At 50.9% G+C, this 27,121-nt stretch overlaps 1 protein-coding gene, 1 non-coding gene and 1 pseudogene across 7 annotated transcripts in view, besides 9 other annotated features; 2 read left to right on the plus strand and 1 right to left on the minus strand.

Moving 5' to 3' along the window:
• Positions 1-24,188, plus strand: part of RCC1 (regulator of chromosome condensation 1) — a 32,947-nt gene extending 8,759 nt beyond the window's left edge. For 2 of the 6 annotated variants that reach the window (NM_001381865.2, NM_001381866.2), the window contains exons 4-13: positions 1,924-2,066; positions 15,057-15,138; positions 17,002-17,189; positions 17,370-17,549; positions 20,249-20,345; positions 20,457-20,579; positions 21,070-21,225; positions 21,461-21,580; positions 21,946-22,098; positions 23,031-24,188. In NM_001381865.2, the coding sequence (NP_001368794.1) occupies positions 15,066-15,138; positions 17,002-17,189; positions 17,370-17,549; positions 20,249-20,345; positions 20,457-20,579; positions 21,070-21,225; positions 21,461-21,580; positions 21,946-22,098; positions 23,031-23,206 (1,266 nt within the window). In that variant the 5' untranslated portion in view covers positions 1,924-2,066; positions 15,057-15,065 and the 3' untranslated portion in view covers positions 23,207-24,188. Of the gene's footprint in view, positions 1-1,923; positions 2,067-3,424; positions 3,508-15,056; positions 15,139-15,721; positions 15,815-17,001; positions 17,190-17,369; positions 17,550-20,248; positions 20,346-20,456; positions 20,580-21,069; positions 21,226-21,460; positions 21,581-21,945; positions 22,099-23,030 lie in introns of those variants that run through there. The other 4 variants (NM_001048194.4, NM_001048195.4, NM_001269.6 and 1 more) reach the window with 4 other exon arrangements.
• Positions 2,068-2,127: an enhancer, noted in NCBI's record as "active region_599". NCBI's record gives its function as "activates an Ori minimal core promoter by ATAC-STARR-seq in GM12878 lymphoblastoid cells {active_cell/tissue: GM12878}" and the evidence as "EXISTENCE:reporter gene assay evidence [ECO:0000049][PMID:35858748]".
• On the plus strand, positions 2,675-2,774 carry LOC124904836 (small nucleolar RNA U13). Its single transcript, XR_007067432.1, has one exon. It is a non-coding gene; the product is annotated as a small nucleolar RNA U13 (small nucleolar RNA).
• Positions 3,202-4,053: an enhancer, noted in NCBI's record as "H3K27ac hESC enhancer chr1:28844515-28845366 (GRCh37/hg19 assembly coordinates)". NCBI's record gives its function as "activates a minimal SCP1, AML or CMV promoter by ChIP-STARR-seq in primed H9 embryonic stem cells {active_cell/tissue: H9 hESC(primed)}" and the evidence as "EXISTENCE:reporter gene assay evidence [ECO:0000049][PMID:30033119]".
• Positions 3,202-4,057: a biological region, named in NCBI's record as "H3K27ac hESC enhancer GRCh37_chr1:28844515-28845366".
• Positions 3,278-3,917: a silencer, noted in NCBI's record as "silent region_541". NCBI's record gives its function as "represses an Ori minimal core promoter by ATAC-STARR-seq in GM12878 lymphoblastoid cells {active_cell/tissue: GM12878}" and the evidence as "EXISTENCE:reporter gene assay evidence [ECO:0000049][PMID:35858748]".
• Positions 3,968-4,057: a silencer, noted in NCBI's record as "silent region_542". NCBI's record gives its function as "represses an Ori minimal core promoter by ATAC-STARR-seq in GM12878 lymphoblastoid cells {active_cell/tissue: GM12878}" and the evidence as "EXISTENCE:reporter gene assay evidence [ECO:0000049][PMID:35858748]".
• Positions 4,054-4,904: an enhancer, noted in NCBI's record as "H3K27ac hESC enhancer chr1:28845367-28846217 (GRCh37/hg19 assembly coordinates)". NCBI's record gives its function as "activates a minimal SCP1, AML or CMV promoter by ChIP-STARR-seq in primed H9 embryonic stem cells {active_cell/tissue: H9 hESC(primed)}" and the evidence as "EXISTENCE:reporter gene assay evidence [ECO:0000049][PMID:30033119]".
• Positions 4,198-4,407: an enhancer, noted in NCBI's record as "active region_600". NCBI's record gives its function as "activates an Ori minimal core promoter by ATAC-STARR-seq in GM12878 lymphoblastoid cells {active_cell/tissue: GM12878}" and the evidence as "EXISTENCE:reporter gene assay evidence [ECO:0000049][PMID:35858748]".
• Positions 9,258-9,759: an enhancer, noted in NCBI's record as "H3K27ac hESC enhancer chr1:28850571-28851072 (GRCh37/hg19 assembly coordinates)". NCBI's record gives its function as "activates a minimal SCP1, AML or CMV promoter by ChIP-STARR-seq in naive H9 embryonic stem cells {active_cell/tissue: H9 hESC(naive)}" and the evidence as "EXISTENCE:reporter gene assay evidence [ECO:0000049][PMID:30033119]".
• Positions 11,557-12,437, minus strand: PRDX3P2 (peroxiredoxin 3 pseudogene 2; annotated as a pseudogene).
• Positions 24,737-25,237: an enhancer, noted in NCBI's record as "H3K4me1 hESC enhancer chr1:28866050-28866550 (GRCh37/hg19 assembly coordinates)". NCBI's record gives its function as "activates a minimal SCP1, AML or CMV promoter by ChIP-STARR-seq in naive H9 embryonic stem cells {active_cell/tissue: H9 hESC(naive)}" and the evidence as "EXISTENCE:reporter gene assay evidence [ECO:0000049][PMID:30033119]".

A 27,121-nucleotide genomic window follows, 5' to 3' on the forward strand; every position in this document is an offset into this window, starting at 1 on the left:
CGCCTGTAATCCATCCCAGCACTTTGGGAAGCCAAGGCAGGCAGATCACGAGGTCAGAGCGAGACTCCGTCTCGAAAAAATAAATAAATATTTCTTCCATTTCTCACTATATAGTCTTTGATATTGTCATGTGTCTTACTTTTATATATGTTATAAAACCCACAGTACATTATTACAGCCAGAACCTCCATATCAGCCAGTTGCGATGGCTCACTCCTGTAATTCCAACACTTTGGGATGCCAAGGCAGGCTGACTGCTGAGGCTCAGAAGTTCAAGACCAGCCTGGCCAACATAGTGAAACCCTGTCTCTACCAAAAATACAAAAATTAGATGGGCAATTAGCTGGACGTGGTGGTGCACGCCTGTAATCCCAGCTACTCGGGAGGCTGAAACAGGAGAATTGCTTGAACCCAGGAGGCAGAGATTGCAGTGAACTGAGATCACGCCATTACACTCCAGCCTAGGCAACAGAGTGAGACTCCGTCTCAAAAAAAAAAATTAGCTGGGCATGGTGGTGCACATCTGTGGTCCCAGCTACTCGGGAGGCTGAGGCAGAGGTTGCAGTGAGCCGAGATCCTGCCACTGCACTCCAGCCTGGATGACAGAGTGAGACTCTTGAGACAAACAACTGGGGCTGGGCGCAGTAGTTCACACGTGTAATCCCAGCACTTTGGGAGGCCGAGATGGGTGGATCACTTGAGGTCAAGAGCTCAAGACCGGCCTGGCCAACATGGTGAAACCCTGTCTCTATTAAAAATACAAAAATGAGCCGGGCATGGTGGTGCGTGTCTGTAATCCCAGCTACTCTGGAGACTGAGGCAGGAAAATTGCTTGAACCCAGGGGGCAGAGGTTGCAGTGAGCCGAGATTGCACCACTGCACTCCAGCCTGGGCAACAGAATGAGACTCCATCTCAAAATAAAATAAAAAATACAAATACAAAACTAAAAAAATAAAAATAAAGGCCAGGTGCAGTTGCTCATGCCTGTAATCCCAGCACTTTGGGAGGCCAAGATGGGCAGGTCACCTGAGGTCGGGAGTTCCAGACCAGCCTGGCAAAAATGGTGAAACCCGGTCTCTACTAAAAATACACAAAATGGCCAGGCGCGGTGGCTCACGCCTGTAATCCCAGCACTTTGGTAGGCTGAGGCGGGTGGATCACCTGACGTTTAGGAGTTCAAGTCCAGGCTGGCCAACATGGTAAAACCCCGTCTCTACTAAAAATACAAAAATTAGCTGGGCATGGTGGCAGGCGCCTGTAATCCCAGCTACTCAGGAGGCTGAAGCAGGAGAATTGCTTGAACCCAGGAGGAAGAGGTTGCAGTGAGCTGAAATCGTGCCATTGCACTCTAGCCTGGGCGGGTCAGGAGTTCGAGATCAGCCTGGCCAACATGGAGAAACCCCATCTCTACTAAAAGTACAAAAATTAAGGCTGGGCGCGGAGGCTCACGCCTGTAAGCCCAGCACTTTGGGAGGATGAGGTGGGTGGCTCATGAGATCAGGAATTCAAGACCAGCCTGGCCAAGATGGTGAAACCCTGTCTCTACTAAAAATACAAAAATTAGCTGGGTGTGGTGGCAGGCACCTGTAATCCCAGCTACCTGGGAGGCTGAGGCAGGAGAATTGCTTGAACCTGGCTGCAGTGAGCCGAGATCGCACCACTGCACTCCAGCCTGGGCAACAGAGTGAGACCCCATCTCAAAAAAAAAAAAAAAAAGAGTTGAGGTCTCCTTCCACCACTTGTGTGAAGACCCCAGAAAACTTGCTTTACCTCTTTAAACTTCAGTTTTCTTATCTTCCAACTGCCATGAGGTTTTTGTGAGGAACAAATGAGCTGACATGGATGTTTCTGTAGTTAACAAAATAAAGGGTCTTACAAAATAGGCAATAATAATAATAATCACTTATTATTATTACATGAAGCTACATGAATGTGTAAGATCTTGGAGGAAGACAGCAGAGAGAGAGAGAGAGATCAGAGATCCCAGGGTTAAAAGTTGGAGAAATTTCACAGTACATCATCCAAAAGAGGAGTCCATGATGGAGGCAGAGGTAAACTTGGAGAGGTAAGAAACCCTGAAGACAGGGGAGTGCTTTGTGGCAGGCTCTGCATATAAGAATTCAGCCTGGCCAACATGGCGAAACCCAGTCTCTACTAAAAATACGAAAATTAGCCAGGCTTTGTGGCAGGCACCTGTAATCCCAGCTATTTGGGAGGCTGAGGCAGGAGAATCGCTTGAACCTGGGAGGCAGAGGTTGCAGTGAGCCGAGATCTCACCATTGCACTCCAGCCCGGGTGACAAGAGCAAGACTCGATCTCAAAAAAAAAAAAAGTTCAGTTCAGTTGGTAAGAACTCATCAAAAGTGTCCATCTAGACTTTGGGTGCCGTAGAATGACTCAGAGTCTGAATCAACATGAAATCGAGAAAACGTCCTTTGCAAGGGTTTCAGGGAACACCTGAAATCCTGAAGAACTGTTTGTATCCATCCTGAAGAATGGGTGTTAATAAGAGACAGCCTTTTCTTGGTACCTGTTTTCCATCTCTAACCCAACCCCAACTCACACCCTTCTATTTTATCTGGTCTCTCTCATTCCTCTTGCTCCTCCCCACTTGGCTCCCGTTTTCCCCAAGTCCATTCTCTATTTTGTTCTATAAGATCTGATCATATTAGGATGCTCTTGTAGCTCATAAGAAGATGACTGGGTGTTCACACGCATATGAGATGTGCCTCCCTCAAACCTTGTTAAGACATGGGCACATACCCATCTGATGTTAACTCACGGGGAAAAAAATCTGATCATGCCATTCCCGTGCCCAAATTCCCATATATCCCTACTGCCTCAGGATAGAGGCTGGACCCCTTAGACACACAAGACCCTGTATCCATGATCTGTCACTCCCACAGGCACCCTCTACTCCCATCTACTTGGCAGTTTCCCACAACCTCCCTGGGTTCTCGTGGTTCCCTGTCATTGCAAACGTCGCTTCTCCTAGGATGTCCTGCCCCCCTAGACTTAACTTGGAAAGCTGTTCTTAAGCCCCGGACTGAGTCAGATGCCCCTCTGGGTATCCCTGTCATAGCGTTGTGTGGTTGTTGATAGTCTGATTTTTCAACCTTCTCCATGCCCTCTTGAGGGTAGGGAAGATGAGTATCTTTTTTCTCCGTACAGACCCTACCGCACAAGATTTTCCTAAACAGACCGAACTCAAGGAGTCTTTCTGGTTGTTAGTCCACGTGTCCCGATTTGGGGTTTCCAAAATACACGCCCACTGGAACCGGGCCAGGGGAGCCAGCCTGGCCAAGGGCTCCCCCAGCCCGGCCAAGGGCTCCCCCAGCCCGGGAGCGCGCCACATGCAGATCCTGGGATGGCCGCCAGGGGCCGCCGGGCTCTTTGTTTTCCTTTCTCACCCGGGTCGGGGCCAGAGGCCTGCAGAGCGCATGCTCTGGGGCAGTTCGCGGCCCGGCGGGGAGCGCCGGAGTTCCTTGTGGCCGACGTGCACCAAGGTAGGTCTCGCCTGGGACGCGCGGAGGGTCCGGGCAGAGGGCGGTAAGCGGAGCGGCCACAGCCGGAGCACGGGCCGGTCCACGCGGGCCTAAGTCGCTGCCCGCTCTCGCCCGTGTCGCGCGGCGCCGGCCCCACGTGAAGCCCGGAGGCAGGAAGGCGCGGTGCGGGCTCGCGATTCCCCGGCCCCGCGGGGCGCTCCAGCAGCGGCTGGGCGCTGCCTCGCTGGAGCTAGGGCCGCGCGGCCCCTCCGCCGCCGCGCCTCTCACGCCCGCACCGCGGCGCCCGCGCAGGCGGGAGATTCAAACTGCGCGAGCGCGGCGGGCCGGGTGCGCGCGGCCGCCCGGGCGGGGGATGGGTCTCTGCCGCGAGGAGGATGGTTTTGTCCGGCATGCGCTTGGAGAAGGCGGTTTGCAGATCGGGGAGGGAGCCCTGCCCGGGAGAGGGTGGGTCGTAGGAGCTCGAGGGTCTCCCGCTGTGGACCTTTGGGAGCCGTGTGTCTTGAACTCCGCAGCAGCTCAGTCTGTCAGCAGATTATTTGCTGGCCATTTATTGCGTCCCTCTCTTGCGGGGCTGGGGGACAGTAGTGAGAAGAGCAGGCCCGTGTCATTAGCGAACTATGCCCTTGAACCCAGGCGACGGACGCTACTGGCAAGTCATTCATACGTCACATATTGACCTAACTTCGACCACGTGTGACTTGTGTGCCCTAGCAGAAGTTGAGTGTGTGGGGTGTTACGGGGAGCCCTCAGGGGGATCCCCCACCCTGCCCAGGAGGCTCAGGGATGGCTTTCCAGGTGAAGTGACTCTTGAATGGGGTTTTGAAGGAACAGAGTTTTTCAGGCAGTCTGAGGGTAGTGGGATTAGGGTGATACAGGCAGAGGGATTGCACGTGCAACGGCATGAAGGTATAGGTATTGTGGTCAGGGATACCACAGGTCTTGAGGTGACTGGAGGAGGAGAGTAACAAGATGATACAGCAGGGGCTGGGTCACGAAGCGTCTTGTGTGCAAGACTAAGGAACTCTGCGGGGTGGAGGAGGCAGGGAAGATTTCCCCCAAGAAGGGTATCAGAGTGAAACCTGGACAGATGAATTAGGAGTTCACGAGGCTCCTGTTTCAAAGACATCCCAAGAGCAGGAATCCTGTTCTGTTCATCGTTACAACTTTCTCATCAGATGCCCTTGGGCAACCCACCCAGTCCCCCAGAGCATTGGTTTCCTTATCTGTAAAGCAATGGTAGGGGGCATGTGGTGAGGATATAATTTTTTTTTTTTTGAGACGGAGTTTCCACTCTTATTACCCAGGCTGGAGTGCAGTGGCGCGATCTCAGCTCACTGCAACCTCCACCTCCTAGGTTCAAGCAATTCTGCCTCAGCCTGCTGAGCAGCTGAGACTACAGGAACACACCACCAGGCCCAGCTAATTTTTGTATTTTTTTTTTTTTAGTAGAGACGGGGTTTCACCATGTTGGCCAGGCTGGTCTTGAACTCCTGACCTCAGGTGATCCACCTGCCTCAGCCTCCCAAAGTGCTGGAATTACAGGTGTGAGCCACCGCACCCGGCCAATTTTTTTTTTTTTTCTGATACAGAATCTTGGTCTATCGCCCAGGCTGTAGTATAGTGTCGTGCTCTCAGTCGCTGCAGCCTCCACCTCCCGGGTTCAAGCGATTCTCCTGTCTCAGCCTCCCGAATAGTAATATCCTATAATTTTCATAAAGCAGTGAAGTTGTGTGTCCCTTCCCCCAGGAAAAATGAACACATAGGCCCAGGCACAGGTTGTATAGAACGGGGATCCCAGGTGAGAAACTCCTAGTGTGAAATATACCACCTGTGTGCCTGGCATAACAGCAGCTCACCAAATGTATATTGTTGACACATGAGCCCTCTCCTCCCTTCCCTCCTGGGGACCTTACACACAGAGATTTTTCAGCCTTAGTCTGGCAGGCAAGTTCTTCCTCCTGGTGTGGGGGACGGAGGGCACAGCTGCAGTGGCCTGGGAGGGCTCTGTCTCCTTTTACAGAAATCGAGGCTGTGGTGAGGTCACTGGAGGTCAGGGCAGGAGCACCAGGCTCCGGGCAGACTGTCTAGACTGGCGTGCCTACCCACTTTCTTCAATAAATAAGGAAGGTGAGGTGGGGGTAGGGCAGCTCCAGCTCTGGTGGAGCATGGTCATGAGACTGGGATTTCATTCCACCTCTCTGTGACCTGGGTCACCTTTCCCTGAGCCTCATCTTCCCCTTAGCTGTAAAACTGGGATGAGTCTGCTCACCTCAAAGGGCAGCTGTGGGCATTCAGGAGTGCCTGATGGTGGAAGCTGACTCTGTAGCCGACTTATCTGTGACTGTCTCACTCTTCTCCCAGAGACTGTATGCTCCTTGAAGATGGAAGCTGTGTTGTGTGGGGCGGGGTGGGGAAGCATGATGCCAAAAGCCAACTCCTTATTCCCAGCCCAGACACTCACTGCCTGGTTAAGAAAACAGCCAGAGAGGCCGGGCTCGGTGGCTCACGACTGTAACCCCAGCAATTTGGGAGGCCAAGGTGGGCAGATCACCTGAGGTCAGGAGTTCAAGACCAGCCTGGCCGACATGGTGAAACCCCGTCTTTACTAAAAATACCAAGCAGTTAGCCAGGCGTGGTGGCTTGCGCCTGTAGTCCCAGCACTAGGGAGGCTGAGGCGGGAGAATCGCTTGAACCTGGGAGGCGGAGGTTGCAGTGAGCTGAGATCGTGAGTCTGAACTCCAGCTTGGGCAACAGAGTGAGGCTCCATCTCAAAAAGAAGAAAAGAAAAGCAAATAAAGGAAAACACACCCAGAGCAGTGAGAGAAGTCTGTATACAAGACCCATTTGTGCAGTAGAGGCTGTGCAGGCAGGTACCGGGAACAGGGCTCCACCTTTTAGAAGGTGGTCCTCTGGCCGGGAGCAGTGGCTCACGCCTGTAATCCCAGCACTTTGGGAGGCCGAGGTGGGTGGATCATGAGGTCAGGAGATCGAGACCATCCTGGCTAACACGGTGAAACCCCGTCTCTACTAAAAATACAAAAAATTAGCTGGGTGTGGTGGCAGGCGCCTGTAGTCCCAGCTACTCGGGAGGCTGAGGCAGGAGAATGGCGTGAACCTGGGAGGCGGAGCTTGCAGTGAGCCGATATCGCGCCATTGCCTCCAGACTGGGCGACAGAGCGAGACTCCACCTCAGAAAAAAAAAAAAAAAAAAAAAAGAAGGTGGCCCTCCATCCCCTGCCCTTCCCTGGCGATTGCCAGCCCAGTGCAGGGCCTCAAGTCTTCCATTTTGGAGAGGAAGCCTCTGGGACTCAAAGAGCACTCAGGTGCCGTCTCCACCGCAGCAGGGAGTTGTCGCCACTGTCCTTCCCCACATCTGTGGGTGGATCTGTCACCACCCACCCCACCTTCCCTCAGGCTCTAGCTGCCTCATTGTCTCCTCTCTGGTCTCACCATCCTCTCCTCAGCTGGCTTCTGCTCTCTGCTTCTTGGACTTGGCCAAGTGCATAGGGGATACTGGGGAGGCCTGCCCAGACTGCCTTAGCCCCTGCCTGGACCAAGGTCTGCCTTCAGAATCAGTCAGATAGGCCTGGGTTGCTTTTCTAGGCTGCCCTTTACTTGCTCTGTGAACTTAGGCCGATAAAGTTATCTTTCTGAGCCTCAGTTCCTTAACTGTGAAATAGGAGTGACAGTGCTGCCTTCTTCAGCTTCCTGTGAGGAATAAAAGGGTTTTGCATATGGAAGATACAGTGAGTTAGCCGGTGCCCCCAGGGGCTCATATTTTAGGAAGTTGATTGGTATGGTGGACAGGCATGTAAATTAAAGTGATTGTGATCCAAAAGTCTGTCCCAGTTTCTCAGAGAGAATGACTAGTTCAGGATGGAGGAGGGATCAGAGGAGGTGACTTTGAGACACCAGTAGATGTTCTTCCAGTGGGATAAGGGATGGGAAGGCGTTCCAGGTAAAGAGATGCAAATAGTATGGAGAGGACAGTTAGCATTCTGGCCTGGTGGGTCTGGCAAGGAGATTGTGTGGGAAGAGAAGGGAGGATGTGATAGATAGGAAATGAAGCTAAAGGTTCTGTCAGTACCCGATGTTGGAGACCTCTAATACCCAGCTAAGAAATGTGGGCTTTATCTTCCAGGAAAAGGGGACCACTAAGGAGTCCAAGCAGGCCAGCAGCTTGCTTCAGGTTTGAGGTTTGGAAAGATCATGAATGAGGCCGGGCATGGTACCTCACGCCTATAATCCCAGTACTTTGGGAGGTCGAGGTGGGAGGATCACTTGAGCCCGGGAGTTTGAGACCAGCCTGGGCAACATAGTGAGACCTTGTCTCTACAAGAAAAAAAAAAATTACAAATTAGCCAAGCGTGGTGGTACATGCCTGTAGTCCCAGCTACTCTGGAGGCTGAGGCAGGAGGGTCGCTTGAGCCTAGGAGGTGGAGGTTGCAGTGAGCCGTGTACGTGCTGCTGCACTACAGCCTGGGCAACAGAGTGAAACCCTGTCTCAAAAAAAAATAAATATATATATGTATATATATACACACACACATATTTATTGATCACGAATGACTTGGAGAATGAGAGGAGGGGATGAGGGTGGGGACCGGAAGACCAGTGAAAAGTTGCTGTCTTTCCTAGGGAAAGGAGGAGGAGACACAGTTCCAGGCAAGCTGAGAGACTACTAGGGAGCATGGGGAGGAAGGAGGCAGAAGAAATTTCTTTTTTTTTTTTTTTTTTTTTTGAGACGGAGTCTTGCTCTGTCACCCAGGCTGGAGTGCAGTGGCGTGATCTCGACTCACTGCAAGCTCTGCCTCCCGGGTTCACGCCATTTTCCTGCCTCAGCCTCCCGAGTAGCTAGGACTACAAGCGCCCGCCACCACGCCTGTCTAATTTTTTGTATTTTTAGTAGAGACGGGGTTTCACCGTGGTCTCGATCTCCTGACCTCATGATCCGCCCGCCTCGGCCTCCCAAAGTGCTGGGATTACAGGCGTGAGCCACCGCGCCCGGCCAGAAGAAATTTCTAATAACACTCAAGGACGCCAGCTCTGGAGTCTGACTAACTTGGTTCAGATCTTGGCCTTCTCTTCCAATCTTGAGTGAGATACTTCACCTTTCTGAGCCTCAGTTTTCTTCTCTGTAGAGTGGGATCATTGTGGCCAGCTTGTAGTGAAACGCTCCAGAATATTAGCCAAACACAACTAAGGAGATGTTGACTGGGTTTGTTCCATCCATGATAACAGATTTTTTGGTTAATGCCCCATGACACCAACACTTCATATAGCCCTTATGTGTCTGACTCCATTCCGGGCTGTGCTCATGGCAGCCCAGCCATCAGCACCAACTGTGCTGACATAATTGTTTCCTGCTTTTTCTCCTGACTTCTTATTGTGAGTACTTTTCATGCTAATACAGTCTCCCTCCCAGGCACAGCAGACTGCTACAGATTATTCTGATGAACTGATGAGATGTTTGCCTTGGCATACAGCTGTCTATCTAAAACAAGGGTGCCTCTTTTTTTGGTGGAGGGACAGAGTTTCACTCTTGTTGCCCAGGCTGGAGTGCAATGGTGCAAACTCGGCTTACCACAACCTCCACTTCCTGGGTTCAAGCGATTCTCCTGCCTCAGCCTCCCGAGTAGCTGGGATTACAGCACGCGTCACCACGCCTGGCTAATTTTGTATTTTTAGTAGAGATGGGGTTCCTCCACGTTGGTCAGGCTGGTCTCGAACTCCTGACCTCAGGTGATCCACCCGCCTTGGCCTCCCAATCTGCTGGGATTACAGGCGTGAGCCACCGTGCCCGGCCACAAAGATGCCTCTTATATCCCACATCCCTACCCCATCTAACTTTGCCTGCCTGACATCCTTTCTGGGATGGCTCCCAAGCACTTCAGATTGAATGAAAACACCTAGCAACATGGAGCTTCACGTCTCTTCTCTCCTGTTTGTTCAACAGTGTTCTCTATCTCACTACATGGAAGTCTACCATCTACCTGGTCATTTAAGCCCAAGCCTGGGAGTCTTTGTGTTTGGCCAAGCTCATAGGGGGATCTTGGGCAGGCCTGCCAAGAATCCTCTGGACTTTTTTAGGATGAACAAATCAAGCCAAGTGCTGTGGCACGTGCCCATGATCCCAGGCTCTTGGGAAGCTGAGGTGGGAAGATCGCTTGAGTCCATGAGTTCGAGGCTGCAATAAGCTAATTGCACCACTGCACTCCAGCCTAGGTGACAGAGTGAGACCCCCTCTCTTAAAAAAATAAAATAAAAGGCCAGGCATGGTGGCTTACACCTATAATCCCAGCACTTTGGGAGTCCAAGGCTAGAGAATCGCTTGAGCCCAGGAGTTCGGGACCAGCCTGGGCAACATGGCAAGACGTTGTTTCTGCAAAATATACAAAAATTAGCCGGGCGTGGTGGTGCACACCTGTAGTCCCAGCTATCCAGGATGGCTCAAGCCCGGGTGGTTGAGGCTGCAGTGAGCCATGACCATGCCACTGCACTCAAGTCTGGGCAGGACCCTGTCTCAAAAATAAATACAAAGGATGAACAAATTATGAGAGTAAAAAAGGGTTAGTCTCCTTTATCCTTGCTACACCTCCTCACCCAAAGCCAAGCAGTAGTGTAGCAGGATAAGCCGCAGACAAAACCCCCCAGACACCCAGTTAAAGAAGGAAGGGCTTTATTCAGCTGGGAGCTTTGGCAAGATTCACGTCTCCAAAAACTGAGCTCCCCGAGTGAGCAGTTCCTGTCCCTTTTAAGGGCTTACAACTCTAAGGGGGTCTGCATGAAGAGGTCGTGATTGATTGAGCAAGCAGGGGATATGTGACTGGGGGCTGCATGCACTGGTTATCAGAACGGAACAGAACAGGACAGGGATTTTCACAGTGCTTTTCCATACGATGTCTGGAATCTATAGATAACATAACCGGTTAGGTCAGGGGTCGATCTTTAACCAGACACAGGTCGCGGCGCCAGGCTGTCTGCCTGTGGATTTCATTTCTGCCTTTTAGTTTTTACTTCTTTGGAGGCAGAAATTGGGCATAAGACAATATGAGGGGTGGTCTCCTCCCTTAGTAGTAAAGCACTATAAATATTTGTGGATTTACAACCATTTCATTCAGTCTTGATGACAGCCCTGAGAAGTAGTCATTGCATCCCCTTTTATAGATGAGGATACAGTTCAGAGAGGTTAAGGCAACTGGCCAGCCACAAGCTCTGGAAGGTGAACCCAGTTCCCTCTAATCCCAAAGAATGTGCACTTTTTAGTGTGGGACAAGGGGTCTCAAAAGACAGGTGGGAGGATTCTCAGCCCTGGGAGAATAAAAGTTGGGTGAAGTTCAGAACTGCCACCTCATCAGTCAGAACTGGGCCAGTGACAACCTGCAGAAGCTCAGCCTGCAAAGGCTTATCAGGATTCTAGACCTTTGGTTACTTTCCCATCTTTAGTATTTAGTTCTCCTTCCCCAGGATAATCAGCAGAAAAGTGCCTGGCCTTGTGTCCATATACCATGGAGGGGAGAGCTAGAGAGGCGAGGTTCTCGGGAACCACTAGAAGGAAGGAATGAGGGGGCTGCTGGTTAGGCCCAGAGCTGAGACCGAGAAGGGCTCTTGGAGTTCTCCTTCCCTTCGTAACATTAGGTAGAGGCTTAGACAACTTGATTGTTTTTCATGACCTTAAAGACTGTGGCTCCGGCCGGGCATGGTGGCTCACAGCTGTTGTAATCCCAGCACTTTGGGAGGCTGAGGCGGGTAGATCGCTTGAGCCCAGGAGTTCTAGACCAGCCTGGGCAACTTGGCAAAACCCTGTCTCTACAAAATATATAAAAATTAGCTGGACACTGTGATGCGCACTTGTAGTCCCAGCTATTCTAGAGGCTGAGGTGGGAGGATCACCTGAGCTCAAGAGGTCAAACCTGCAATGAGCCGTGATTGTGCCACTGCACTTGAGCCTGGGCAACAGAGAGTGAGATGCTGTCTCAAAAAAACAAACAAACAAACAAACAAAAACAAGTACTTGATGACTCCATTGGGGTCAATTATGAAGAGACCTCTTAGTGCAAGACCAGGACCTTCTAACAGCACACCGAAGTCTCGAGAAATTCGCTTAGTTAAATCTGACAAGGGTGCGATGTTTATGTGGCCCAAAGCACCATTCTTTCTTGGTGTATTTATCCAGGCAAGACGGCTAAAGTGGGAATCCACTGAGACTGCAACAACTTCAAAGTTCACATCGTGAAATTCCTTAGCTTTGTCACTAGAAGCAACAATTTCTGTAGGACACACAAAGGTGAAATCCAAAGGATAGGGCTGGGCGCGGTGGCTCACACCTGTAATCCCAGCACTTTGGGAGGCTGAGGTGGGTGGATCACCTGAGTTCAGGAGTTCAAGACCAGCCTCACCAACATGGTGAAATCCCATCTCTACTAAAAATACAAAAATTAGCCAGGCGTCGTGGCAGGCGCCTGTAATTCCAGGTACTCAGGAGGCTGAGGCAGGAGAATTGGCTTGAACCCAGGAGGGGGAGGTTGCAGTGAGCCGAGATCGTGCCACTGCACTCCAGCCTGGGTGACACAGCAAGACTCCGTCTCGGAAAAAAAAAAAAAAAGAAAGAAATCCAAAGGATAGAAGAAAAGCACCAAATATTTCCCCTCAAAGTCATCAAGGCTTAGGTCTTTGAACTCTCCATTGACCACGGCTGTACCCTTAAAATAGGGCGCATGCTGGGTGACATCAGGTGCATGGTATGAGGAACTGGTACCAGAATTTTGCTTGACCGGAACCAGACCACAATATGTTTGTCAAACTTGTTCTTCCAGAAGCAGCAGGCCTGAGGGCTGCAGTGGCAGAAATGCCCCCAAGGAATGGCACTCACATGCCGGGCAACTGATGCTCAGAGTAACCTTCCCACAGCAGCCGCGATCTTCAGTGCATGTGTGTTTTTGTTTTTTTGAGACAGTGTCTGTCTCTTTCGCCCAGGCTAAAGTACAGTGGCACAATCTCAGCTCAATTTAGCCTCAGCCTCCCAGGCTCACGCCATCCTCCCACCTCAGCCTCCTGAGTAGCCAGGACTTCAGGCGTGCACCACCATGCCCGGCTAATTTTTGTAATTTTTTGGATAGAAATGGGGTTTCGCCATGTTGCCCACGCTGGTCTTGAACTCCTGGGCTCAAGCGATCCTCCTGCCTCGACTTCCCAAAGTGCTAGGATTACAGGTGTGGTGGCACCTTGTCTCTAAAAAAAATCAATCAATTAAATAAGAAAAGAAAATAGCTCTTCTCCCCCTCTGATTATAACAACACATTACCAAAGTTACTGGTGCTTACATGGGGTTGAATGGAGTTATGATGGATATTTCATTTAATGTTGTTCTTCAATGTTTTAATTTTTTACAACAGACTTAAAAATTTTTTAAATACATGTGGCCAGGCACGATGGCTCACGCCTGTAATCCCGCACTTTGGGAGGCCAAGGTGGGTGGATCATCTGAGGTCAGGAGTTCAAGACCAGCGGGACCAACATGGAGAAACCCCATCTCTACTAAAAATACAAAATAAGCCGGGCGTGGTGGCACATGCCTGTAATCCTAGCTACTCCAGAGGCTGAGGCAGGAGAATCACTTGAACCTGGGAGGTAGAGGTTGTGGTGAGCCGAGATTGCGCCATGGCACTCCAGCCTGGGCAATAAGAACAAAACTCTGCTTCAAAAAAAAAAAAAAAAAAACATGTAATCGGCTGTACGCAGTGGCTCACGCCTGTAATCCCAGGACTTCGGGAGGCTGAGGCAGGTGGATTACTTGAGATTAGGAGTTTGGGACCAGCCTGGCCAACATGGTGAAACCCCGTCTCTACTAAAAATACAAAATTTGGGCTGGGCACAGTGGCTCACGCCTATAATTCCAGCACTTTGGGAGGCCAAGGCGGGGTGGATCACTGAGATCAGGAGTTCGAGACCAGCCTGGCCAAACTGGTGAAACCTCGTCTCTACTAAAAATACAAAAATTAGCTGGGTGTGGTGGTGGGTGCCTGTAATCCCAGCTACTCGAGAGGCTGAGGCAGGAGAATCACTTGAACCCAGGAGGCAGAGGTTGCATGAGCCGAGATCGCACCATTGCACTCTAGCCTGGGTGACAGAACGAGACTCCATTTCAAAAAAACAAAAACAAAACAAAACTTAGCAGGGCATGGTGATGCACACCTGTAATCTCAGCTACTCGGAAGGCTGAGGCACAAGAATTGCTTCAACCCGGGAGGTGGAGGTTGCAGTGAGCTGAGATCATGCCTGTGCGCTCCAGCCTGGCGACAGAGTGAGACTCCGTCTCAAAAAACAGAAAAATACATGTAATGCTCCTTGTTAAACATCTTAGATAATATAGGAAGATAAAACGAAACAAGTAATGATTATCTATAATACCATTTTCCGAGGTTACCATTGTTAATATGGGATATATTTTCTTCCCCACATTTTTCTCACATATTTTTTGTGTATGCATTTTTTTTCCAAAAAAAAAAAAAATGGATGATAGGCTGTTTTTCTTCCTTTTTTTTTTTTTTTTTTTTGGTTGGGGGGTGGAGTTTCACTACTCTTTCTCCCAGGCTGGAGTGCTGAGTGCAATGGCATGATCTTGGCTCACCGCAACCTCCACCTCCTAGGTTCAAGCAATTCTCCTGCCTCAGCCTCCCAAGTAGCTGGGATTACAGTCGCACACCACCATGCCTGGCTAATTTTTGTATTTTTTTTTTTTTTTTTGGTGGCGACGGGGTTTCACCATGTTGGCCAGGCTGGTCTCGAACTCCTGACCTCAAGTGATCCACCCACCTTGGCCTCCGAAAGTGCCAAAGTACTGGGATTACAGGCGTGAGCCACCGCGCCCAGGCTTTTTTTTTTTTTTTTTTTTTGAGACAGTCTGGCTCTGTTGCCCAGGCTGGAGTGCAGTGGCTCGATCTTGGCTCACCACAACCTCCACCTCGCGGGTTCAAGCGATTCTCCTGCCTCAGCCTCCTGAGTAGCTGGGATTACAGGTGCCCATCACTGTGCCTGGCTAATTTTTGTATTTTTAGTAGAGACGGGGTTTTGCCATGTTGGCCAGGCTGGTTTGGAACTCCTGATCTCAGGTAATCCGCCCGCCCCGGCCTCCCACAGTGTTGGGATTACAGATGTGAGCCACCACACCTGGCCGTCTGTTTTTCATTCTGCTTGTTTTACTTGGCAATGGGGAACATCTTTCTATTCAATAGATTGATCTCTGAAAACATCACTTTTGATGGCTTCATACTGTTCTATCATGAATATACCACATATTTAGTTCACTACTATTGAACATTCGGGTTCTGTTTTTGTTGTTTTTAAAATGTTATGAAGGATACAGTAGAGAATATTTGTGTAATTAATCTGTGGGTGCATCCATTATTCTGTTCTTGGGATACATTTTGAGAAGTGGAATTGTTGGGCAATTCCTCTTAACGTATTTCTAGAGTGTTTGATAAATATTGTCTGATTGGCCCAGGAAAATGTTTGCCATTTCTCATATGTAGTATTTGACTGACTTTCAGGACAGGAAGATGTCACCCAAGCGCATAGCTAAAAGAAGGTCCCCCCCAGCAGATGCCATCCCCAAAAGCAAGAAGGTGAAGGGTAAGTTGGCCTTGGCCTCTTTGTGGGTACAGGTGGCCCCTTGAAACCCTAAGAACCCGGGACTGGGCTCCTTTCTTCCTGAGGCTTGAAGCTGAAGGGTGTGGATGTGCAGAGACCCCACCCAGCTGGAAGGTTTCCTGTAGCTCATTGAATCCTACCCTCTGGGAATCACAAAGTGGGCAGAAACTCCTCTCAAAGCACTCAGGCAGCACTGGCACAAAAAAAAAAAAAAAAAAACTAGACCCTAGGGCTTCACCCCAGGCAGTGATGCATTATGGTTAGGACCACTGACTTTCCGACATGGGTTCAAGTCCTTGCTCTGCCACTTTCTAGCTGCTGGGCAAGTCACTTAATCCCGCAGTTTGGATTATCAACTTCTTAAAATGGCGGCAGCCAGAGCAGCGTCACCCTCTCTGGGCTGTGTGAGGATGAGATGAGATAATGGCCTGGCAGCATTTGAGGGAGGTGGCTGTGGTTTCCTCTGTCCTGGGACCCCGGAGGGGGACAGGGAGGAGAGAAAAGCCAGCACCAAACTGGGAGGGGAAGTGTGGACCCACGCTCAGACAGTGTCTGTCTTTTGCAGACACGAGGGCCGCTGCCTCCCGCCGCGTTCCTGGCGCCCGCTCCTGCCAAGGTGCCTGCGGGCCGAGCCCTCCTGACCAGAAAACCCGACCAGGTGGCTCCGCGCCCGGGGCGCCCTCTGTGCTGCCAGCGCGGGCTCCTCAGCGGTGGCCACATCCTCGGGGGAGGGGCTGGGCGCCATTGGCTGCCCGGGGCTGCGGGTTGGGGGGCCGCCTTTGGCCCACAGAGAGCCCCGGGCGCGCACCTCCCGCAAATGCCGCTGTCCGCTCTTCCTCCCGCCCCTCCTGCCTCTCCACTGGATGGTGGAGGGAAGAGTCCGTTTCTGCAGTGGATTTGCCCGGGAGCTGAACTTATTCACTGGCGGACGGCTTGGGCATGGAGGAGGGCTTGGATGGAGACTGGGGATTGTTCTCTGACCCACGTAGTCTCCCTTGCTTTCGGTGCAGATTCTGCTATTATAATTAGCTTTCTGCGGGGCAAGGTGGCTCACGCCTGTCAGAAGATCGAGACCATCCTGGCTAACACGGTGAAACCCCGTCTCTACTAAAATACAAAAAATTAGCCTTGCGCGGTGGCGCGCGCCTGTAGTCCCAGCTACTCAGGAGGCTGAGGCAGAGGAATCGCTTGAACCCGGGAGGCAGAGGTTGCAATTAGCCAAGATCCACCACTGCACTCCAGACTGGCGACAAAGGGAGACTCCGTCTCAAAATAACAATAACAATAATTAGCTTTCTTTTCTTTTTCTTTTTTTTTTTTTTTTTGAGATCAAGTATCACTCTGTCGCCCAGACTGGAGGCGGCAGTGGCACGATCTTGGCTCACTGCCACCTCCGCCTCCCAGGTTCAAGTGATTCTCCTGCCTCAGCCTCCTGAGTAGCTGAGATTACAGGCTACTGTTGGCAAGGCTGGTCTCTTAACTCCTGACCTCAAGTGATCCGCCCGCCTTGGCCTCCCACAGTGCTAGGATTACAGGTGTGAGCCACCGCACCCAGCCCTTCTTGCCCTCTCCACCAAGATTCATTTCACAGTATCCAGTGTCTCCTTGTTTCCCTTTCTCCCCTTTCACGTGAATAATGTGCTCAGTTCTTAATCTCCACAAAAATCCTGTGAGAGAGGTACTTTTGTTGTCCCCATTTCACAGATGACAAAACTTAGAAAGTTCATACTAACAGTCTGTGGCAGAGCAGGGGCTTCTGCACAGGTTTGTCTGATCCCAGAGCCTGTGACCTCTCCTCGCTGTCGTCATCCTCTACACTCAGGGTCTATCTTCTTCACCCTTCAGTCTCACACAGGTCCCACAGCACAGAACCCGGCTTGGTGCTGACACTAGGCCAGGGCGACGTGGGCCAGCTGGGGCTGGGTGAGAATGTGATGGAGAGGAAGAAGCCGGCCCTGGTATCCATTCCGGAGGATGTTGTGCAGGCTGAGGCTGGGGGCATGCACACCGTGTGTCTAAGCAAAAGTGGCCAGGTAGGTGTTGGGGACTGGCACAGGGTTGGACAAGGCCTGGGGTTGGGTGGCTTGGGGCAGGGCTTTTGAACCACGCATGTTCACTGTGGAAATGGAGCTGGCTAGTCAAGTGGGGAGTGGCCTACATGAGAATGGACTGCGAGGCCAGACGTTGCATTAATGAGGGCATCCTGGGCACAGGTCTATTCCTTCGGCTGCAATGATGAGGGTGCCCTGGGAAGGGACACATCAGTGGAGGGCTCGGAGATGGTCCCTGGGAAAGTGGAGCTGCAAGAGAAGGTGGTACAGGTGTCAGCAGGAGACAGTCACACAGCAGCCCTCACCGATGATGGCCGTGTCTTCCTCTGGGGCTCCTTCCGGGTAAGGCTGGGTCTGAAAGTCTGCATGGTCCCTGAAAGACAGAATTAATTGGCGGGGCCCCAAAGATAATCCACTTCCATGCCCCCATGGTACTTACTGGTGGGGAGATGAAAGCCCACAGGTAGAGCTGAGGCCCAGACCCAGGACTCTAGCTTCCTCATGTGGGCCTGTCCACGCCACTGGCTGCTTCCTTGAATCCGATGTCATCAAGTGTCTGTCCTGGGAAGTGAGTGGGTCAAGGATGTCCCTGGGTTGAGGCTGATCCAGGAGGCCTGCTGTCTTCACCCATCTCCCTGACTTCTGTCTCCCCCTCACCTTGCCAGCACTGCCTCTTCCACACTTCCCAGAGGCTTGGATGGGGCAAGGAGGTGTGGAGGCAGGGATTGTCGCATCTCAGAGTTTCCAAGGTACAGAGGAGTGTAGTTGAAAAAACAGATTGTGGGTTTTTGTTGTTGTTGTTGTTGTTGTTTTTGTATTGTTTTGAGATGGAGTTTCACTCTTGTTGCCCAGGCTGGAGTGCAATAGCGCAATCTTGGCTCACTGCAACCTCTGCCTCCCAAGTTTAAGTGATTCTCCTGCCTCAGCCTCCCAAGTAGCTGGGATTACAGGCATGCGCCACCACGCCTGGCTAATTTTGTATTTTTAGTAGAGACGGGGTTTCCCCTGTTGGTCAGGCTGGTCTCGAACTCCCGACCCCAGGTGATCCACCCGCCTCAGCCTCCCAAAGTGCTAGGATTACAGGCGTGGGCCACCACACCCGGCCTGATGGGTGTTTCCTTATCACATCTATTTTGAAATTTTCATGGAGAATTTCAAACACATGAAAGTAATCAGAATTGGGCTGGGCGCGGTGGCTCATGCCTGTAATCCCAGCACTTTGGGATGCCAAGATGGGCAGATCACGACGTCAGGAGATCGAGACCATACTGGCTAACATGGTGAAACCCCGTCTCTACTAAAAATACAAAAAATTAGCCAAGCGTGGTGGCGGGTGCCTGTAGTCCCAGCTACTCGGGAGGCTGAGGCAGGAGAATGGCTTGAACCCGGGAGGCGGAGCTTGCAGTGAGCCAAGATCGCGCCACTGCACTCCAGCCTAGGGGACAGAGCGAGACTCCATCTCAAAAAAAAAAAAAGAAGTCCGGGCGCAGTAGCTCATGCTTGTAATCCCAGCACTTTGGGAGGCCGAAGCAGGCTGATCACCTGAGGGGTCGGGAGTTCGAGACCGGCCTGACCAACATGGAGAAACCCTGTCTCTATTAAAATTACAAAATTAGCTGGACATGGTGGTGCATGCCTGTAATCCCAGCTACTCGGGAGGCTGAGGCAGGAGAATTGTTTGAACCTGGGAGGCGGAGGTTGCAGTGAGCCGAGATCGCGCCATTGCACTCCAGCCTGGGCAACAAGAGCGAAACTCTGTCTCAAAAAAAAAAAAAAAAAAAAAAAAAGGAAGTAATCAGAATATCAGAATTATATTTTTTTCTTTTCTTTTCTTTTCTTTTTTTTTTTTTTTTTTTTTTTTTTTTTTTTTTTTTTTTTTTTTTTTTTGAGACAGAGTCTTGCTCTATCACCCAGGTTGGAGTGCAATGACACAATCTCGGCTCAGTGCAACCTCTGCCTCTCGGGCTCAAGCAATTCTCCTTCCTCAGCCTCCCGAGTAGCTGGGATTACAGGCATGCGCCACCACACCTGGTTAATTTTTGTATTTTTAGTAGAGACGGGGTTTCACCATGTTGGCCAGGCTGGTTGTGAATTTCTGATCTCAGGTGATCCGCCCGTCTGGGCCTCCCAGAGTGCTGGATTGCAGGCTTGAGCCGCCACGTCTGGCCTCTTTTCTTTTTTCTTTGTTTTGAGACGGAGTCTCGCTTTGTCGCCCAGGCTGGAGTGCAGTGGCGCGATCTCGGCTCACTGCAAGCTCTGCCTCCCTGATTCACGCCATTCTCCTGCCTCTGTCTCCCGAGTAGCTGGGACTACAGGCGCCCGCTACAACGCCCGGCTAATTTTTTGTATTTTTTGGTAGAGACGGCATTTCACCGTGTTAGCCGGAATGGTCTCGATCTCCTGACCTCGTGATCGCCCGCCTTGGCCTCCCAAAGTGCTGGGATTACAGGCATGAGCCACCGCGCCCGGCCTCTTTTCTTTTTTAATTAGAGACGAGATCCTGCTCTGTCACCCAGGCCAGAGTGCAATGGCATCGTCTTAGCTCATTACAGCCTCAACTTCCTGGGCTCAGGTGATTTCTTCCACCTCAGCCTCGCAAGTAGCTGGTACTAGAGGCTTGTGCCACCACGCCCAGCTAATTTTTGTATTTTTTGTAGGGACGGGGTTTCACCGTGTTGCCCAAGCTGGTCCTGAGCTCAAGCGATCTGCCCACCTGGGCCTACCAAAGTGCTAGGATTACTGGCATGAATTACCATGCCTGGCCCAGAATAGTATATTGAGTGCCCATTTACTTGCCACACAGTTTCAATGATTATCAGCTTGTGGCCAGACTTGTTTATCTCTATTTGCATCCGCTCTCTGACTCCTTGATTATTTTAATGCAAGTCGCAGACCATAAATGATTTCATTCATAAGTATTTGAGTATGTGGCCTGGCTCCTGCCCACTTCTCCATCCCCATCTGGTGCCACTGCCCTTCTGGATTTCACTGGCACGGGGCAGGCAGGACTGGCTGATAAGTGCCCTGTCCCTCCCTTCTAGGACAATAACGGTGTGATTGGACTGTTGGAGCCCATGAAGAAGAGCATGGTGCCTGTGCAGGTGCAGCTGGATGTGCCTGTGGTAAAGGTGGCCTCAGGTGGGTCTGGGGGCACTTGCTCAGGGCAGGAGTTGGAGGACCTTGTTCTGGGGCTGGCCTAGCCTTGGGCCTTACAGTTGTGGCCTGCATCCCTTACCTTTTCATCCTTAGGAAACGACCACTTGGTGATGCTGACAGCTGATGGTGACCTCTACACCTTGGGCTGCGGGGAACAGGGCCAGCTAGGCCGTGTGCCTGAGTTATTTGCCAACCGTGGTGGCCGGCAAGGCCTCGGTAAGTGGCCTTGGTACCTCCAGCAGGGCAAATTGGCAGGCCACCCCCACAGTGAAGGCCAAAGGCAGGAAGGATTTGCTGTGGTCAGGCTTGCATCAGATGGGCTTGTGGTGTTGGTTAGGACTTTGGAGACAGACTGCTCTGGTAGTTTTGCCACCTACTGTCTATGGGACTCTGAACATAGTTTCTTCATCACTAAGTCTACCTACCTGTAAACCTACTTCATTAGGTTGCTGTGAAGTTAAATGAGTTAATGAGAAGAATATCAGGCAGATGGTAAGTTCCACGTAAATGATACCCGTAATGACTGTGGGAATCTGAGCAAGGCACTTGTATTCTCTTGATCTCAGTTTCCTTTTCTATAAAATAGGGATAAGAGTCCCTACTTAGCCTCTCAAGGGCTTTTATAATGGAGGAGAATTAAACTCGGGGCAGAGAGAAGCCATGTGTGTCTGTCTGTCACTGACCGTGGCTTTCCCTTTGCCTGCAGAACGACTCCTGGTCCCCAAGTGTGTGATGCTGAAATCCAGGGGAAGCCGGGGCCACGTGAGATTCCAGGATGCCTTTTGTGGTGCCTATTTCACCTTTGCCATCTCCCATGAGGGCCACGTGTACGGCTTCGGCCTCTCCAACTACCATCAGCTTGGTGAGCCCCGAGCCCAGCTTCAGGCATGACCCAGTGGCCTGCGTTCCTGTCCTGGCTCTGCCACTCATTCATTGTGCATCCTTTGCGGGGTCGTCTAACCCCTCCAAGCCAGTTTTGTCATCTGTAAAGTGAGAATGTCCATATCCTGATGGGAGGTGGCCTCACTGTGGGAGGAGATTGAGAAGGGCAGCTCTCAGAACACCTTCACCCCTGATGGCTCCGGCCTTTCCCCCAGGAACTCCGGGCACAGAATCTTGCTTCATACCCCAGAACCTAACATCCTTCAAGAATTCCACCAAGTCCTGGGTGGGCTTCTCTGGTGGCCAGCACCATACAGTCTGCATGGATTCGGAAGGTAGGGCCTTTACGTCCTTCTCTAGTTTGGGGGTGGAGTGTTCCCTGGCCTAGGCCTAGCCAGATTCCTGAGACCATGGTCCTTGGAGCCTGGGTCTGTTCCATGGGTTGTACCATACATGGGTCCATGAGAGTCACTCTCATCCTCCTAGAGTCCTGGTGTTCTTCCAAGTGTGAGTTCAATGGGGGCCCATGTAGATTCTCCTAGGCCTCCTCCAAAACTGGGAAGAGACACTGCAGATCTCCTTCTGATCGCTCTGGGAGCAGGGACACACTCCCATGGACAGGTGGACTCACCTAGCCTGCCACCCATTTTGCCTGTAGCACGCCCTCTGCTATTGCTCATCTCTCTCCCTCCTCCCATAGGAAAAGCATACAGCCTGGGCCGGGCTGAGTATGGGCGGCTGGGCCTTGGAGAGGGTGCTGAGGAGAAGAGCATACCCACCCTCATCTCCAGGCTGCCTGCTGTCTCCTCGGTGGCTTGTGGGGCCTCTGTGGGGTATGCTGTGACCAAGGATGGTGAGTGGGGCTGCCTACACTCTGTCTAGTTGGGACCTGGGGGTCATGGTTCTTACCCAATTCCCCAATAGGCTGTGATGTCCACTCTCGGGGGAGCCGAGGTACAGAGAGCAGTGTTTGTGATGGCACTTTGTTCCTGCTTCTCAGAAGCTCTGGCATTGATGAATATGAAATGAGTACACAAATTATTTTAGTAAAGGTGACTTATTATGCAGAGGAGAGAAATAGCAAAGAGTGAGATATCACTGAGGCCTAAGGAGGCAATGGGACTGGAACCCAAGTCTCCAGACTCCTAACCCAGGCTGCTCTCTCCCCTCAGGGTGACCCCTTCATATATCACCTTGTATGTTCCCGCTTTCCAGGGACTTTTACTTAGAATCTAAATCAAGAAAAAAAAAGGCTTAGTAGTCAGAGTTGTAGCAACTATAGCAGAGGAGGGTGTGAACAAGTGACCACCAAAGCCTGAGTGGGTGAGGGGGATAGCCATGGAGGTCCTGTAGAAGCCTGGAGCTGGCAGAGGTGCTTGACCTGAGGTTATCTGGGAAGACTTCCTCAGGAAGTGGGGCTTGCACTGTACCTTGAAGGTTCCATTCCTTGTGAAAAGCAAAGAATGCCATTCCAGGCAGAGGAACATCAGGGCAGTCTCAAAGGTGGCTGGTCCTGGGAACAGAGGGTGGGGTAGGACCTTGAATGCCACGCCTAGGAGCAGCCTTTGGCAGTGTGTAGGGACTGTGCTCTCTGGTTTACAGAGTTCTTTTTTATCCATCATCTCCTTGGGTTCTCCCAACTTCCCTGAACTCCCAGAGTCTGGTACCTTGCCAAGCTGCTATTGGCCAAGGCCACAGTCCACGCCCATGTCCCAGGTTTCTCCTGCTACAGAAAGGTGGGCTGGGGATCCTGGAGACAGCTGTACCCATTTCTCTCTCTTGCAGGTCGTGTTTTCGCCTGGGGCATGGGCACCAACTACCAGCTGGGCACAGGGCAGGATGAGGACGCCTGGAGCCCTGTGGAGATGATGGGCAAACAGCTGGAGAACCGTGTGGTCTTATCTGTGTCCAGCGGGGGCCAGCATACAGTCTTATTAGTCAAGGACAAAGAACAGAGCTGATGAAGCCTCTGAGGGCCTGGCTTCTGTCCTGCACAACCTCCCTCACAGAACAGGGAAGCAGTGACAGCTGCAGATGGCAGCGGGCCTCTCCCCAGCCCTGAGCACTGTGTCAGTTCCTGCCTTTTCTCATCAGCAGAACAGAATCCTTTTCCTCTTTTCCTTCCTCCTCTTTGGAATTTTCCTGGGACCTACAGAATAAAGGGGGGGATGGACAGGGGGTTTTCAAAAGGAACATGGCTCACTCAGAGCTATATGGTTAGACGTTTCTCCCCTTTTCCCTACCTTCCATGGTCCTGGTTGGCCCTGGCTTTGCCTACTAGAAAACCAAAACTTCCCCCCTGGGGTTTTGTGCCCACTCTCTGAGAAGTTGGGGCTCCATCAAGCCCCATTCTAGTCATGTGCCCCTTTCCTGTCCCTAACAGTCCACAGGCAAACAAATGGTACAGTCATAAGAGCCATCTGTCACGGACCCACGCCCAGAGGAACGTGCAGAAAAAAGCAGAGCTACATGGCTGTGGGCAACTATAAGCCAAATATTTGGCTCAGAACAGGTGTCCATGGGACAAAAAAGAACGATCCTCCACTTGACCAAGAAAAAAGTGATTCTCCCAGAAGCACAAAGCATACTCTTGCCCCTCAGGTGTTGCTTGTGTACATCGTACCCATCCATTCGGCTTCACCTGCAGCCAACGGCCTGGAATCGCAAAGAGACACCACTCTGGGCAGAGCAGAGCAGGGTATGGGGTGGGGAGAGAGGGTGGAGGGTTTTATAAACAAACTTAACAGCAATATTGAAAGGAGGTGGGGGATTGAGGGAGGGACAGAGTGTTGGAGGGCCAGAGACTAGTCCTGAGATGGAAACAGCAACTTGTACAGTGGCTGAGAAAATAGGATATAGTTTTGATTTTTTTAATTGTAAAATATTTTGGAGGGAGAACAAAATCTTTTAACATTTTGAATAAATTTAGAGTTTTATAAAATAGGCCACTTGTTTTCTACACATTCCCTGCTTTTTAAGGGAGCACATATTATGTGCCAGGCACTGCTGGGAAAGACAGAATAAACTATAAACCTGGTGTTGAGGCTACAACTTAAGTGATGTCAAGATGTCCTGAGGTGCCAACCAGCTGTCAGTGTGACTGTAACAAAGGCTTCAAATCTGTCAAGAAGTAAGGAAAAGTTTTGTTTGAATTTTGTTTGGGTATTTCTGTTTTGGGAGTCACTGGATTATTTTTAAATGCTGCATAGTACAATAGAGGCAGGGTGGATCTTTTAATACCAAACCAAAAAAAATTTTTTTTTTTTGAGACAGAGTTTTTCTCGTGGCCCAGGCTAGAGTGCAATGGCGCAATCTTGGCTCACTGTATCCTCCGCCTCCCAGGTTCAAGCAATTCTTCTGCCTCAGCCTCCCAAGTAGCTGGGATTACAGGCATGCATCACCATGCCTGGCTAAATTTTTTTGTGTTTTTAGTAGAGACAGGGTCTTGCCCCGTTGGTCAGGCTGGTCCCGAACACCTGACCGCAGATGATCTGCCCGCCTCGGCCTCCCAAAGTGCTGGGATTATAGGCGTGAGCCACCGCGCCTGGCCGATTTTTTTTTTTTTTTTTTTGAGACAGTCGCTTTCTTTGCCCAGGCTGGAGTGCAATGGTGTGATCTCGGCTCGCTGCAACCTCCACCTCCCGGGTTCAAGTGATTCTTCTGCTTCAGCGTCTGAAGTAGCTGGAATTACAGGCACACACCACCGAGCCCAGCTAATTTCTAAAATTATTTATTTATTTATTGAGGCGGAGTCTCGCTCTGTTGCCCAGGCTGGAGTGCAGTGGCATGATCTCGGCTCACTGCAACCTCCGCCTCCCAAGTTCAAGCGATTCTCCTGCCTCAGTCTCCCGAGTAGCTGGGACTACAGGCGCGTGCCACCATGCCTGGCTAATTTTTTTGTATTTTTAGTAGAGACGGGGTTTCACTATGTTGGCCAGACTGGTCTCCAACTCCTGACCTCCTGATCCGCCCACCTCAGCCTCCCAAAGTGCTGAGATTACAGGCATGAGCCACCGCACCCAGCAATTTATTTATTTAGAGACTGAGTTTCGCTCTTGTTACCCAGGCTGGAGTGCAGTGGTGTGATCTCAGCTCACTGCAACCTCCGCTTCCCAGGCTCAAGTGATTCTCCTGCCTCAGTAATCCCGAGTAGCTGGGATTACAGGCGTGCGCCACCATGGCCAGCTAATTTTTGTATTTTTAGTAGAGACGGGGTTTCACCATGTTGGCCAGGATGGTCTGGATCTCTTAACCTCGTGATCCACATGCCTTGACCTCCCAAAGTGCTGGTACAATAGGCATGAGCCACTGTGCCTGGCCAAACCAAGATTTTTTAACACAGTACCATCTCTAGAAATGCTTACTGAGGCCAAGCACGGTGGCTCACGCCTGTAATTCCAGCACTTTGGGAGGTCAAAGTAGGTGGATCACTTGAGGTCAGGAGTTTGAGACCAGCCTGGCCAACATGGTGAAACCCCATCTCTACTAAAAATTAAAAAACTAGCCAGGCGTGGTGGCACGTGCCTGTAATCCCAGCTACTGGGGAGGCTAAGGCAGGAGAATCGCTTGAACCCAGGAGGCGGAGGTTGCAGTGAACTGAAATCGCGCCATTGCACTCCAGCCTGGGTGAAGAAGCGAGACTCCATCTCAAAAAAAAGGCTTACTGAGCCGCTTGTGTATTGTTTTCAGCAACTGATGTACTTATTTAACCATCATTATTTGCACAATAATAAAAAGTAGGGCATGCCCCACCACACCCAGCACTTTTTTTTTTTTTTTTTTTTTTGAGACAGTGCCTTTTTTTAGCCCAGGCTGGAGTGCAGTGGCGCCACCTTGGCTCACTGCAGCAACTGCCTCTCAGGTTCCAGTGATTCTCCCGCCTCAGCCTCCCAGGTAGTTGGGATTACAGTCATGCGCCACTATGCCTGGTTAATTTTTATACTTTTAGTAGAAACAGGGTTTCATGCCTTACACAGTAATTCTTAACGATAACATATTACTGTAGATTTTCACAAGCATTTGACCCACAAAAATCACACACAGCTGACTTGTGCAATACAGTGGTCACTAGCCACATGTGGCTGTTTACATTGAAATCAATTGTCCGGGTGTGGTGGCTCGTGCCTGTAATCTCAGCACTTTGGGAGACCGAGGTGGGTGGATCATGAGGTCAGGAGATCGAGACCATCCTGGCTAATACAGTGAAACCCCCTCTCTACTAAAAATACAAAAAATTAGCCGGTCGTGGTGGCAGGCACATGTAGTCCCAGCTACTCAGGAGGTTGAGGCAGGAGAATAGCATGAACCCGGGAGGCAGAGCTTGCCGTGAGCCGAGATTGCACCACTGCACTCCAGCCTGGGCGACAGCGAGACTCCATCTCAAAAAAAAAAAAAAAAATCAATTAATATATATTTAAAACGAAATAAACTCAGTTTCGCCAGGCGTGGTGGCTCACACCTGTAATTCCAGCACTTTGGGAGGCCAAGGCAGACAGATCACTTGAGGTCAGGCGTTTGAGACCAGCCTGGCCAACATGGTGAAACCCTGTCTCTACTGAAAAAAAAACAAAAAAAAAATATAAAAATTAGCTGGGCATGGTGGTACATGCCTGTAATCCCAGCTACTCGGGAGTCTGAGGCAGGAAAATCACTTGAACCTGGGAGATGGAGGTTGCAGTGAGCTGATAACAGGCCACTGCACTCCAGCCTAGGTGACAGAGTGAGACTCCATCTCAAAACAAACAAAAAACTCAGTTTCAGTTGTACAAGCCACATTTCAAGTAGTCACGAGTGACAAGCTAGTACTTGTGGTATGGGACTGTGCAAATACAGCACATTTCCCATTGCAGAAAGTTACAATGGACAGTGCTGATACA

The sequence above is a fragment of the Homo sapiens genome, chromosome 1 (genome assembly GCF_000001405.40).
Source record: "Homo sapiens chromosome 1, GRCh38.p14 Primary Assembly".
NCBI classification, from domain to species: domain Eukaryota; kingdom Metazoa; phylum Chordata; class Mammalia; order Primates; family Hominidae; genus Homo; species Homo sapiens.